The 14,162-nt window shown below is 37.7% G+C and overlaps 1 protein-coding gene across 175 annotated transcripts in view; it reads left to right on the top strand.

Annotated features, from left to right (window-relative positions):
* The window catches only part of PTK2 (protein tyrosine kinase 2), a 344,180-nt gene that overhangs the window by 68,523 nt on the left and 261,495 nt on the right, over positions 1–14,162 (top strand). For 45 of the 175 annotated variants that reach the window (NR_148039.2, NR_148038.2, NR_148036.2 and 42 more), the window contains one exon: positions 7,808–7,896. The exons of 75 other annotated variants lie outside the window; for them this stretch is intronic. Coding sequence is in view for 43 of the 100 variants with exons in the window: in XM_047422021.1 (XP_047277977.1) it covers positions 12,644–12,743 (100 nt within the window). In the remaining 57 variants the exon portion in view is untranslated. Of the gene's footprint in view, positions 1–2,493; positions 2,746–7,807; positions 7,996–12,424; positions 12,744–14,162 lie in introns of all 175 variants that reach the window. 55 more of the 175 variants (XM_047422049.1, XM_047422045.1, XM_024447209.2 and 52 more) reach the window with 5 other exon arrangements.

Genomic DNA, 14,162 nt, shown 5'->3' with positions numbered 1-14,162 from the left:
TATTTGACAATAAATACACCTTTATACAGTAAGAATACTAATGCTCTAGGATTTAGCGTTCCAAAACCTTGCCTGATTTTTCTGTCTTCTGGCAGCAGTTTTCTGTGAATGCACAGCCTAGATTCTCCACCTGCTTCTTCTTCTCAGAATTGGTAAATACATACCAAAGGTAAAAGTAAATGCAAAAGATCAGCTGAACTTCTGTGGTTTTGAAGTTTTTTAGCCCCTCCTGTTCTTGCTGTCTTCAAACAGATGATTTTTATATTTTATGCAGTTCTTCTGTTTTTTTCTAAAGGAAATGCTCTTCTATTGCCAGCTGTTGCATCTGTCTTGGATTTAGAAATCTCAAGTCTTTTTTTTTTTTTTCATTACTGTTGTTAGAGATCCTGGTTTTAAAAAGTCAGGGGGCCATGTGCGGTGGCTCACACCTATAATCCCAGCACTTTGGAAGGCTGAGGTGGTTAGATCATCGGAGGTCAGGAGTTCAAGACCAGCCTGGCCAACATGGTGAAACCCCATCTCTACTGAAAATACAAAATTAGCCGGGTGTGGTGGCACACACCTGTAATCCCAGCTACTTGGGAGGCTGAGGCAGGAGAATCACTTGAACCCAGGAAGCAGAGGTTACAGTGAGCCGAGATTGCCCCACTGCACTCTAGCCTGGGCGACAGAGCAAGACTTCATCTCAAAAAAAGGGGAAGGAAGACTCTTAGTAAGCTAGCTGTATACAAACCCCCGTCTTGTTTGTCTTCTGTTGTACCCTGATGAGGCAGTTGATTTTAGTCTCTGCTGCTGTTAGTCAGGATCCTTGGACAGAAAAAGAGTGAATGAATACATTATTTCTGCTGTATCATAGAAGATGCAAATATCCATAATTTATTGATTTTGCTAACAAGTTTTTATATGGCATGCTTCCTTTGAAATTCAGACATTTTATGAATTCAAGAGTTTGCTGGTCCAGTGTAAAAATTACATTGTAATTATTTCAATTAAACTAGATATGGCTTTGACAGTTTTGCTTACTGTAGTTCTGGTCCCTGAAAAAAGAAATGGTGGCTCACATCTGTAATCCCAGCACTTTGGGAGGCTGATGCGGGTGGATCACTGGAGGTCAGGAGTTCGAGACTGGCCTGGCCAAGATGGTGAAACCCCCTCTCTACTAAAAAATACAAAAATAAACTGGGTGTGGTGGTGGGCGCCTGTGATCCCAGCTACTTGGGAGGCTGAGACATGAGAATTGCTTGAACCTGGGAGGTGGTGGTTGCAGTGAGCCAAGATTGCACTACTGCACTCCAGCCTGGGCAACAGACTTTATCTCAAAAAAAGAAAAAAAAGAAATGTTAAATATCTTTATTCTTAGAGTGAAACTTTAAAAATTGCGTGATTATGTTTAACATGCATTGAGCAGAAACATTTCTAGTTTCACAAACCCCTGAGAGTCATGTGGTTGAGGAGAATGGGGTCAGTGGGGGAAAGAGTAGAATGTGGAAATGGATCTTTGGACAGTGCCAGCAGGACTAGGCTGAGGCATTTGTCTTGACATAATATCTAAAGAGTCACCAAAACCCTCAGTAATTAAGATAAACAATAATTTAATGCAGCTTTTTTTTTTTTTTTTTTTTTTTTTTGAGACTGGGTCTCTGTCGCCCAGGCTGGAGTGCAGTGGCCCAATCATGGCTCATTATAGCCTCCACCTTCTGGGCTCAAACAGCCCTCCCACCTCAGCCTCCCAGGCTGGGACTATAGGTGTGTGCCACCACAACCAGCTATTTTAAAATTTTTTTGTAGAGATGGGGGTCTCACTATGTTGCCTAGGCTGGTCTCGAACTCCTGGGCTCAAGTGATCCTCCTGCCTTGGCCTCCCAAAGTGCTGGGTTTACAGGCATGAGTCATCACGCCTGGCCTACAGTATTTTTAAGAATCAAAAATTTATGCAAGAAAATCTATAGTGAACAATATACTTTTATTTTTATTTAAAAATTTTTTTTAAAACCACAAGGTCTTGTTCTGTCACCTAGGCTGATGTGCATTGGCACAATCATGGCTCATTGCAGCCTCAGCCTCCTCCGTCTCAAGCAATCCTCCCACCTCAGCCTCCTGAGCAGCTGGGACTACAGGCAGGCACCACCATGCCCAGCTAATTGTTTGGTATTTTTTTATAGAGTTGGGGTTTCATCTTGTTGCCTAGGCTGAAGATATATTTTAAAGTAAGTTTTAAGAAGGTATAGAAGAGTATGTAGAACACATTATATTGGTGTAATGCAAAAGAAACTGTATTTGCATATGTGCATTCTTGTATATGCATGGAACACCTCCAGAAGGTTACACAAACAATTAGGAACAGTGATTCTATCTAGAGAGAATGTGATGGAAAGAAAATAGGGTGAAGGGGGGGTGATGTTTATGGTTCATTGCATATCCATGTGAATTTTGTACCATGTATTTAATAATTTTCTCTTTTTCTTTTTCTTTTTTTTTTTTTTTTTGAGACAGAGTCTCGCTCTGCCGCGCAGGCTGGAGTGCAGTGGTGTGATCTCGGCTTACTGCAACCTTTGCCTTCTGGGTTCAAGCAATTGTGCCTCAGCCTCCTGAGTAGCTGGAGTTACAGGTGTATGCCACCACACCCTGCTAATTTTTGTATTTTTGGTAGAAGTGGGGTTTCACCATGTTACTCAGGCTGGTCTTGAACTTCTGGCCTCAAGTGATCTGCCCACCTCAGCCTCTCAAAGTGCTGGGATTACAGATGTGAGTCACTGCTCCTGGCCTGTATTTTCTTTTTTTCCAATTAATCTTACAGCAAATATACCATGCAGGTGTGTTTTCTGATCAAAAGAATAAATGTAAAAAGCAAATATTTTAAAGAAACAATATCCAGTAAAGTCCTCAGTACTTAGAAATGAAATACCTTTCTAAATAATACATGAGTCTAAAATCAAAAGAGAAATTAGAAAATGTTTCAAAATTAGAAAGTTATTTGAAACAGAATAGTAAAAATATAACATCAGTCTTTATTATGCAGCTTGAAAGAGTACATAAGAGGGAACTTTATAACTTTAAGTGCTTATATAACTGAAAGGAAAAAAGCATCAGTTGTCTATGTTTTTACCTTAAGAAGCTACAAAAACCAAAAATAATGAGAAGTAAAGAGAGATCAGGAGAGTGTGGCACATTGGAACATAGGACAGAAGATAAAGGAGTTTTAAAGTATCTATTTATCTTGAAATCCTTGCAATTTAGGACTGGGAGCTGCCTTATTTTTTTGATATGTTTCTGTTTTTGTTGTTAATGAGTATTTTCCAATGTCAGTGAAAAATTTTCAGACACAACATTTAAAAATAGTCATTCATTTTGGTGTTCCGAGGTTTATTTATTCATTCCCCTTCTATCAAACATGTAGGCTGTTAACAGTGTTTCAGTATTACAAATAAACATATTATAAGCCTCAAACTGCCTTAAAACTGAGAGGAGATTTATTGGAGGTTTAGTAGACCAGTCTACCAGAAGTTAGACTTCTGGGTACTCAGATTTGTTTGCTTGTCTTCTGATGGTCTGTCAACTCCTTATGGGATGGGACTCTGTCCAATTATTTTGGGATCCCTACTGCTTAATTTATTGCCTATGCACAGAAGAGGCAGACAGTAATGATGCACTTACAGTGACATGGAGCCTTTGTTATGGGCGCTCTCAAAGCCCTTTATGCTTGTAATGTTTAATTATCATAACTGAAAAATACATACCATTTTAAACTTTATTTAACCGACGAGAAACTAAGTTATGGAGAGAAAGTTAAAAAAAAAAAGTGCCAGGGTCACATATCTAATACCATGTGGCAGAGTTTAAGTTTTAGGATACTTGAAATAAACTGAATGGACCTTTAAATTTAGGGTGATGGAAAAGATGATTTGGGCTTTGGAGTTGCATGCGGCTTTGACATTTTACTTTTACAGTCTAATTGTATCACAAGTCCTTACTTGTGTATGTGAGCCTCAGTTTTCTTTTTCTTGAAAATGATGATATTAGTAATTACCTCCAAGTTTATTAGGGGGACACATTTTAAAACACACACACATAAAGCCACCTTGTACAGGGCTGGAACAATATAAGCCCTTAGTCAGTGATTGGTTATTGTCTCTTTTTCCTGTCTCTTTCGCTTTAGACTTGTTCTTAAACTCTCAAAGCTTTTCTCTTCATTTATAAAAGTAAACATAATTATATTTGCAGATTTGTTGTAAAATATAAATGAGATTTACTCTTTAAAAATGGTTTTAACATTTTTTAAGTTAAAAAATTGTGGCCGGGCGCGGTGGCTCACGCCTGTAATCCCAGCACTTTGGGAGGCCGAGGCGGGCGGATCACGAGGTCAGGAGATCGAGACCATCCCGGCTAAAATGGTGAAACCCCGTCTCTACTAAAAATACAAAAAATTAGCCGGGCGTAGTGGCGGGCGCCTGTAGTCCCAGCTACTTGGGAGGCTGAGGCAGGAGAATGGCGTGAACCCGGGAGGCGGAGCTTGCAGTGAGCCGAGATCCCGCCACTGCACTCCAGCCTGGGCGACAGAGCGAGACTCCGTCTCAAAAAAAAAAAAAAAAAAAAAAAAAATTGTGATAAAAATAAATTTTAAAAAATGTGAAATTTGACATTTACCAGTTTTTAAGTGTACTTACTGTTCCAGTAGTATTAAGTATATTACATTTTTGTGAAACAGATCTCTAGAATTTTTTTCATCTTGAAACTATGAAGCTCTATGCCCATAAAGCAGCTTCTCTCCTTCCAGCCTCATCCTCTGGAAACCACCATTCTACTACCTACTTCCATAAATTTGACTACATTCGATATGTTATATAAGTGTAATCATGTTATTTATTCTTTTGTGACTGGCTTATTTCACTTAGCATAATGTCCTCAAGGTTCAGCATGTGTTAGAATTTCTTTCCTTTTCAAGGCTGAATAATATTTCATTGAATTTATATACCACATGTTGTTTATTTGTGGATGAACACCTGGGTTACTTCTACCTTTTGGCTATTGTGAATAATGCTGCTATGAATATGGGTGTTTGAATATCTCTTGCAGAACCTGATTTCAGTTCCTTGGTTTATACCCAGAAGTGGGATTATTGAATCTTTATGGTGGTCCTAGTTTTAATATTTTTAGGACCACCCATGTTGTTTTCCATAGCAGTTGTACCATTTTACATTCCCACCAACAATACACAAGGGTTTCGATTTCTTCATATCCTTGCCAAACCTTATTTTCTATTTTTTAAAAAAGTAGCAGCTATTATAATGGGTGTTAGGTTGGTTTTAACATTTTTTAATGATACAAATTTTTAGATAGAATTAGCAAAGTGACTCCTGAAATTTCTTGGTAAGCTGGAATAACAACCATTCATGCCAGCATGACAAAACCAAAAGCATACGGGAGGGAAATTGACAAAAAAGGCCAACTACTATGTAGCTCCGTTTGGAAAGAAGAAAAGCTGTCTTATTTATGTCTGTTGCTTGGAATATAGATATGATGAGGGATAGATCCACACTAGCTGCTACTGATATTATATATATACATATATATATATATATATTTTTTTTTTTTTTTTTTCTTTTTTTTTTTTTTTTTCTTTTTGAGATGGAGTTTTGCTCTTGTTGCCCAGGCTGGACAATCTCGGCTCATTGCAACCAGGTTCAAGCGATTCTCCTGCCTCAGCCTCCCAAGTAGCTGGGATTACAAGCATGTGCCACCACGCGCGGCCAATTTTTTGTATTTAGTACAGATGGGGTTTTACCATGTTGGTCGGGGTGGTCTTGAACTCCTGATCTCAGGTCATCCACCTGCCTTGGCCTCCCAAAGTGTTGGGATTACAGGCATGAGCCACCTCGCCTGGCCTGATACAGAGTATGGAGTCTGTAGTAATGGTTAGCTTTTTCAGGCCATCATGAGGGATAAATTTAAAATGTATATTGTTGATTTTTCACTTTTAGCTGAGAAATGCAGGTTGTAGAAGGGATTTACATTCACCACAAGGGGTCCTCCTGACACCATCAGACCCCCAGGCCAGTATTAATATGTCTGTGACTGCAAAGCCCAATTTCTGACAAGTAACCCAGAGCCTTTACAGCCTGATCAGTGGTTTTCTCTGTTTCAGTTAGCTTGGAAAGTTAACCTAACTTGGAAAGACACAATAGCTTGACACTGTTGCTATTTGTTAAATAAGGTGAGCAGTCAAACTGTGGATAAATTGCATTTATAGGGTAAAAAAAATTGATGGTGATGAAATAAGTTGCATGTGTGTATATACATTTTCCATAAAATAAAAGTTCTATGTTTGTTTTGGGCAATGTTAGCGTTAAGTAACTACTGGATTGCCTTTTGATGTTTGCATTATTATGGTCAGTATAAGCAATAAAAAAAACTCTGTTTTATAACATATATGGATAGATTGAACACTTTGAACTTCTTCTTCTGTCCTGTGTTGTCATGCTTCTACCACTGCATCTGAAAAACTAATGCAGCATCTTACAGATTTCAGGAGCCTTTAAGAAAAAAGCAATTACAGCAGTTAACCTCTCAGCAGTTTCTAAATCTGGAATTTAGCTTTGATCTCTGTATATATGTCAAAACAGAAATAAGAAATTATCATTAATTAGAGTCCGTAAAAATACTACTTAGATTAATAAGGTCAGGGTTTTGTTGTCTTTGCCTTTTTAGATAATGAAATAGTTTTTATGCCATTAATTTTAGAGGTACTTGAGAATACACATTTTATTGTCTTATCCAATTGGCAGAAATATTAAATAAGATTTTCATGGTAAGAGTTGCATTTTCCCATCTATTTTTTGTATTTCACTGTTGCTTAATTTAGTGGTTATAGTTATTTTCTGGTGACTTTGATACATCTGTCAAGTACCAGCCACGTGTCTAGCAGGTAGTGTGATGACTTTTATCTGAATTCATATTGGGGCAGGATTACTGACACTAGAGGACTATCACATGAGCCTCATGATTTGGTGAATTAGGGTGTTGCATGGGGATAAGAGCAGCTTATTTGTCCCATATTCTTTGCTGTGTTTCTTCTCTTCCTTTCTTTGTCCCATTGGTCCTCACTGTGATTCATTTACCCTTTGTAGGCCTGTTTCCAGACTCTTCTCTGGAAACCTTTGTAGCATCTGGAGGTAGGTGATACTATAGGTGGTGGTTTAACTGTGTCATCTGGCTGGTGTCCAAGTGCCTGATGCATATCCCAGCTCTGCACCTGACCAGTTAGTTTTAATATTAGATATGTTACTTAATTTCTCTGTTCCTCAGTTTGTTCATGTGTCATACATGGATTGTAATATCATCTATGTTATTGGTTATTTAAAGTATTAATTGAGAAAATAGATGTAAAGCACTGCAGCAAATTGGTGAAGTACATGGACTCTGTAGCCAGACTGCATGAGTTTGATTTCCAGCTTTGCAATTCAGAAGTTCTGCGATATTGTGAATTTAAGTTACCTGGCCTCTCTGTGCTTCGATTTCTTCATTGGTAAAATGGGGATAACAGTATCTACCCCATGGGTAGTTTGTTGTGATAGGTAGATGAGTCATCATTTTTAAAGTACTTGGAAGAAGGCTTGGCACAGAGTTAGCATCTACCTGGTATCATCATGTCAAAATTATATTTTCATTATTATTAGCATTGCTATTACGCTATTTCATGACTGGCAAGTAGTACTCAGTAAGTGATAGGTATTGTTATTGTTACTGTCCTCATTTTGCTGATGAAGAAACTGAAGTTCAGGATTTTGAAATGATTTTCTTTGTCTCACAGGCAGAACTGGGGCTCCCTTGCATCTTCCAGTTACAAATTCAGTGCCTTCTGCAGTTTCCCCAGAGCTCCTCAAGAATAACGGAAGGGAGGTATAGTAATGGTTAAGAAACTTTGCAAAGAAAGTGAATAATGCCAGTACTGTCACCTTTTGGAACTTGTTGGTATTTCCTGTTGTCTGTCTTTGGAAGGTGATTAGATTTATTATGACTAATATTTCTTTGATTTTAACCAAGTCATAATTTTTGTGGATAGACTAAAATTTTTGAAAAATTGTTTTCGTGGTGGAAACAGCAAGACAAAATGACAGGAATGGTAATTAGTAATCTTACTGGAAATGAGCGCAGTATGAGATACCTGACATTCTAAAGTTAGGATATATTGTAATTATCAAGTGCTAATTGGAGGAACCATATTGTAAAACTGTCGAAGTTATTTAAATCTGTAACTCCCTGATTAATGCAAACATAAAAGAGTTGAAAGATGATATATTTAGAAGTATGCATGTATAATATGAATAATAATTTTTTTTTACATTCCTCCTGTTGACTGGCATAAAAGCATTTATTAGTGCTTTACTTTGCCAAGTAGTGCTGCCTTGGTGTTTGGTATTCCTTAAGAGAGACAAAATTATGACAATTATATGAGAAATGTGAAAGTTAGGCTGGTATTTTGTGAACTGCTTTTGGTGACATTTACAAGTAGTACATTTCCTAATAGTTCATTCCCAGGGACCTTCTCATATATGGCCAGGGTTTTGTAGCTAAGTCAGATTGGACAAAATTGTACATCATATGAAGGGGTTTAGAGTTCTCTCTTATGCTTACTGATCTTGCTTATAACATTTTTTGCAACCCTAATGATTTTATCTAATCTCACACACTATTTTCATTTGTGCTCTATTAAAATTTGCGGTGAAAGTTTTAATAGTATCAGTACTAAAATTATGTGATTTATTTTTTTATGTGGGGTGGGAAGAAGCAGTTTACATGATTTTCCTAGACTTTATGTCCATTTTTCTCTTCTCATATTCTTGAGAAAGCAAAGTTTTCATAATGTTTAGTTCACTTATTCATTCAATAAGTATGTACTAAGCCTTCATACTGTACTGAGATCTGGAAGTGAAGCAGTGCCCAGACAGCCATACTGTCACTGACGTCCAGCATATACATATACCTTCTCTGTGACCATAGCCTTGAAAAGAAAACAAATTCTCTTTGCCGTCTTCTCATTACTTAGAGGTGATAGGAGGGTGGTGGAATATGGCCTACACTTCAGTAAGGCCCTGGAGACAATATGTACAGAACAGACAGAATTTCCTTCTGTCACGGAGCTTGCATTGTAGTGGGGGTAGCCAAACAATAAACTGAATGTTGAAGTAAATCATGAGGTGTTTTAGAAGGTATAAGTGCTGTGGGAATAAAATGAAGCAGGGAGAGCAGATGGGCCATGCAGTTTCAGACAGGGTGGTCTGGATAGGCCTTGTTGAGTAGGCGACATTTGAGCATAGATGTGGCAGGGGAAAGGGAGCAAGCCATGTGGATAACGCGGGGGCAAGAGTGTCCCACATAGAGGGACAGGCAGTGCAGAGTCCCTGACGTGGGCAGGGAGTGGCAAGGAGGTCAGTGTGGTTGTGCCAAGGAAACTAGGGGATCCTTGGCGATAGAGGGGAGCCATATCACGCACGGCCTTACAGACTGTGCTAAGTATGTAGGTGCTGAATCTGGGAAAGTTGGAGAACTGTTGATGAGTTTTAAGCAGAGGAGTAAAATTGTGTGATTGATGTTTTGGAAGGATCAGTGCACAACTCAGAAGGGTTGTGAATAGAGTGTAGGGCGGTGAGAGCTGGAGCAGAGAGACCAGGTAGGAGGCCTATGGCTGTAATCCAGGCAGCCTGGGCCGGGGTGAGGCCAGGAGATGTGGTGAGAAATACATGTATTCTGGTTATATCTGGAAGGTAAAGATAAGAGTTTACTTTTCAAGTAGGATTTACCAGAATTGCTTTAAAATATGCCAGTACTAAAAGAGGTTGGTGTAAAGGTCACAGAACTTTTAAATAAGTGGTTGGCTTTTATATTAGTATGTAGAATTCATAAATAAGGGAATATAGAGGACTGCTTACGCTTTTTCACTTATGTTGCCATTAACTGTAGTCTGTTTCTGTTCTTTTCAAGATGTCACTGGATTAGGAATTTAAAAGCATAGTTTGTCTTTAATATTTAGCAGGAAGAAAATAATAAAACTCTGTATCACCAAACTAGCCAGTACTTGCCTCATTTTGCAGCTCTTTGACCTTGGGCAAGTTGCTTGGCCTCTCTGAACTTCATTTTCATCTTCTATGAAAATAGGGAAGTAGCTGCTTCACTGAGATTGTGTTATGGGTTAAATGCAGTTATTTTATATACAGCTATAGTTGCTTGATAAAAGGTATAGGTTATTATTAGCAGTATCACCTGTATCCTCTTCAGCTCTTCTCTGTGGCATGAGTTGGTTCCTAACATTTCCATAGCTGCTGTTTCAATCTGGTCTCTACTTAGTCACCTTGGTCTCTGGCCTGGAGAATTTATGCTCTTTCATATCTTAACATCTTCCTATACTCTCAAGATCTTGCACATTAGGAGATGATATTTGGATATTGAAATAAATTATGAAGTAGTTGCAGGGGTAGGAGAGAAAGCCCCCATCTACTGGTCACTTTAAAGTCACAGAAACCAGGTTCATCCCTCTCCCTCATTCTCTCCATCACTTTTCTTGTTTGTCCTCTCATCCTCTCTGTCACTGCGACTGCATTAGCTCCAGTCACCACCACCCTGTGCTTACACCACTCTCTCTCCTGCTCACCTGGTCCTGTGGCAGGTGTTCAGTCTGACTAAAAAATCCTTCCTGTGGTAGGGTGGTGTGCTGTGGTGTGAAGACCCTGGCATCGTAGATGACCGAGTGGGCTTGGTAACTCCTGTACCTCTTCCTAGTCTATGACCCTGTCTTTAGTCTTAGTGCTCTCATTTTTAAAAGAATTGTAATACCAAGTTTGTTTAAAAGATGTGAAAATTAGTTGTAATCAGTACTTAGTGTGTAGAATATAATTGTAGGTTACTAATGAAGGTAGCTTTTATTTTGTAACTTTTGAGAGCCGTAAGTTCCAAGATGGACTCAGTGTGCTTGGATTATTTGTACAGTCCATTAGTCGATGGCTCAGATTAAACTCCAGTCCGTTCTCACAGGAGTGTGTCAGATATGCTTGCTGGTGGATGTGCTCTTATCCTTCCCATCATGACAGTGGTCCTTTACAGTCTTGGTCTCTTAGTATAATGGTGGAGGCTGGGGATATTTTTTCATGTATTCTAGTTGATCTAGTTGCTTGTTTCCTCTGTTCTTTTCCTAGCTTGCTCATGTTTTTCTGGAGCCCCTTTCTTCCCAGTGTTCCCTGGGGTCAGAGTTCATGCTGGTGAATGATATGTTTTCAGTGGAGCATAGAAGAGGTCACTTGAACTCTGGCTACTATTAGGAGCCTGAAAGTAAACCTAGAGACAAAGCCATCATCAAGAGTAGCATGTTAGAAATGAAACAACTGTCCTGGGGCATCACTGGACACAAATAAGCCTCTTGTTCTCCTCAGCCTTTGTTAAGCTATTGTTTTCAGAAGTTAGTGACTTCATAAACAAAGCCTCGGTCATTTTCACTGTTAAGTAAAATACTTGATTTTTGATTGGTTTATACAAATGTACTACTAACAAAATTACCCACATTTAGGAAAGCTAGAACTGTAGAGTCTCAGTGTGTCTTATGTACATTCGGAGAACAAAGGCACCAGGAGCCTAGTTACTAATTATCTTACTGCTAAAGTGGAATGTGTTCAGACAGCTAAATTTTTGAGATGACCTTGACTGTCTCACAGTTTGAATGGAAAAACTAAGTAGCTCTGCATTTTAAAAAGTTGCTAGTACAGATTGTAAGGGTGTTTTCTGTCTGTCTTCTTTAGTATGAGTTTATTACTCACTTATGTTTTGAAACGAAGAAAGGAAATCATGCCTCTTGGATACCTCAATATTCCCTAAGCTAATGTTAAAGAATGTGGCTACCTCAAATTCTTGATTTTATGTTTTCGAGAGAGTTTTTAAAATTTATACACTTACTATGACAGTACCAACCAGGAAAAATATTTTACAGCAAAAATATTTGGGTACCTATAGACATAGAGACATAGATAGATCAGGAATTTTTTTCCAGAAAGGATTTTTATTTCATCAAAGTAATTATTTTAACTCTAAGGTCATAAAGAATTAGGTTAGTAAAATGACAAAGGCATGACTTTGAAAACAAAAAAGGTTTGAGAAGCCATCTACAGACATGATCTGGGTCAGACTTGATTTGCAGCTTACTCAATTTTAGAATCGGTTGTCAGTTTTGTAAACAGAAGACTGCTGGATGAATTGAACAGAAGGGTGAGATTAGCATATTAATAAGTTACTGGCTACTGGCCTTCTTTTTCTCCTCCCTCTTTTCCCTCCCTCTTTCTCCTTCCCTGAATGAATCTAGGAACACAGAGCCATGGGGTCACATTACTAAGCTGGTTTCATTCTGTTCAGTAGCTTGATCTAGCCAGGATGGTCTGTGTTTCAGATTGCGGAAGCATGAGAAGATTCTGTAACTGAGAGGCATTCTTCAAGCTGCTGGAAAATATTACAGAAGGAACACCTTCCAAATTTTGCTTCAAGCTCTGAAAAAAGGAGCACACAGGGGAACCTTAGTCTTGCTTGTGGATCGAAGCAAATACTATCACAGCGAGGAACTGGGACTTTGTGTGCAGACTCCTGGCTTGATCTTTATAGGATTGGGTGTATGTTGTTGGAACTGGCAGGCCAAGAGGCCCTGAAACCAGCAGGTGCCATCTATATGGAGAAAAGCGGATGTAGTCCATTTCCAGTGTGTTGGGCTAAAGGTATAAATAACTTAAAAATATGTTCCGTTTTATTTGAATTCATGCTTTTGCACCGAAAAGGTAGATAAATGTTTTTCAGAATTTATTTCAATATATTTACAGTTAAATTTAAGGAAAAATGGAAATAGATTTGGTATGGGTTTACAGCTATTACATAAAACCAATTAGATAGCTTTTCAAATAGCAAATGAAAATATTTTTTATGGAAATGAATTTTAAGTGCATTAAGCTATCTTTTAATGCTCTGTCCTATGTCTCAATAGTTTTATTTTTTTCTTTTAAGACATCTGTATTCTGTAATATGGAAGTTTTTAAGGAATAAAGAGGAATTTTAACTTAAACAGGGTTGTAGGAAATAAGAGTAACATGTATTTTCTTATTTTAAAAATTAGTTTTCTTTACTCACTGTAAAGATTGTATATTCAATTTGAAACTCGGTATTATTGTAAGGTGGGCTTAGGAATACCATACATAAACAATTTTCTTCTTTAATGTTGTTAGGGTTTTTGTTCACATAAAAATGTAAATATAAAATAATAGCATTTTCATTGTAACATTCAAGACAGTATTTGGGAAACATATTTAGAAGTTAAAAATGCTATGTAATTGGTGCTTGACTAAAAGCAAATCAGCTGTTTTGCTTAGAGTAGTAGAAATATTTAAGTTAGGAAATAAAGTTCTTAATGAAGAATATAATAAATATTTTTTGTTATTATTTCTAATATATTTAAATGTCATGTTACTCCCTTAGGAAAGATTTTTAAAAGGAGGAAGCTGCACTGTTGTAAAAGGCTGCAGTTTTATGAGTAGAGGTATAGACTGATTGATTTTAGTTTTCAGGGTAAAAATTTTAGTACCACTGGGTACTAAACCAAGTTAGCACCAAACTACAGTTTCACCATTAAAATCGCTTTTATTTAGTTGTTGCTGACATCTATTGATTCTTTCCTAGGCTTTTAAACATTTACAAAACGTGATATTAGAACTATTTTAGTATTCATTTTGTTCACTTGATTATGTAATTAGATACTCAGAGTAAATATTTTGCTGAGTTAAATTTACACTCTTGGATTTTAAAGGGCTTTGGGAATGGGAACTTTTTAAAATTTTAGTTTCTGAGCATCAGAAATGTATAGTATAAGTGAGTGTGACTAATAGTGTTCAGAGCCAAAGAATTCTATACTTCTTGAAAATTTTGGTCTTTTCCTGGATTTGCTGGGGTTCGTTTGCATATTGCCACCTCCATTGTATGATAACATTGTGTTAGCACTGATGATTAACACTAAGGCTCTGATTTCCTTCACAAAGCCTAAGCTGTATTCAAGATCTACACATCCAGTACCAACAGAATATTAAATTATCAGCTACTGGATTTCTTTTTATTCAGTGTGACTTTAAAACCGTGAACTTTGGAAGAAA

The sequence above is a fragment of the Homo sapiens genome, chromosome 8, assembly GCF_000001405.40.
Source record: "Homo sapiens chromosome 8, GRCh38.p14 Primary Assembly".
NCBI lineage: Eukaryota > Metazoa > Chordata > Mammalia > Primates > Hominidae > Homo > Homo sapiens.
Note: the sequence above shows the minus strand (reverse complement) of the source record. Positions and strands in the feature narration are given on the sequence as shown.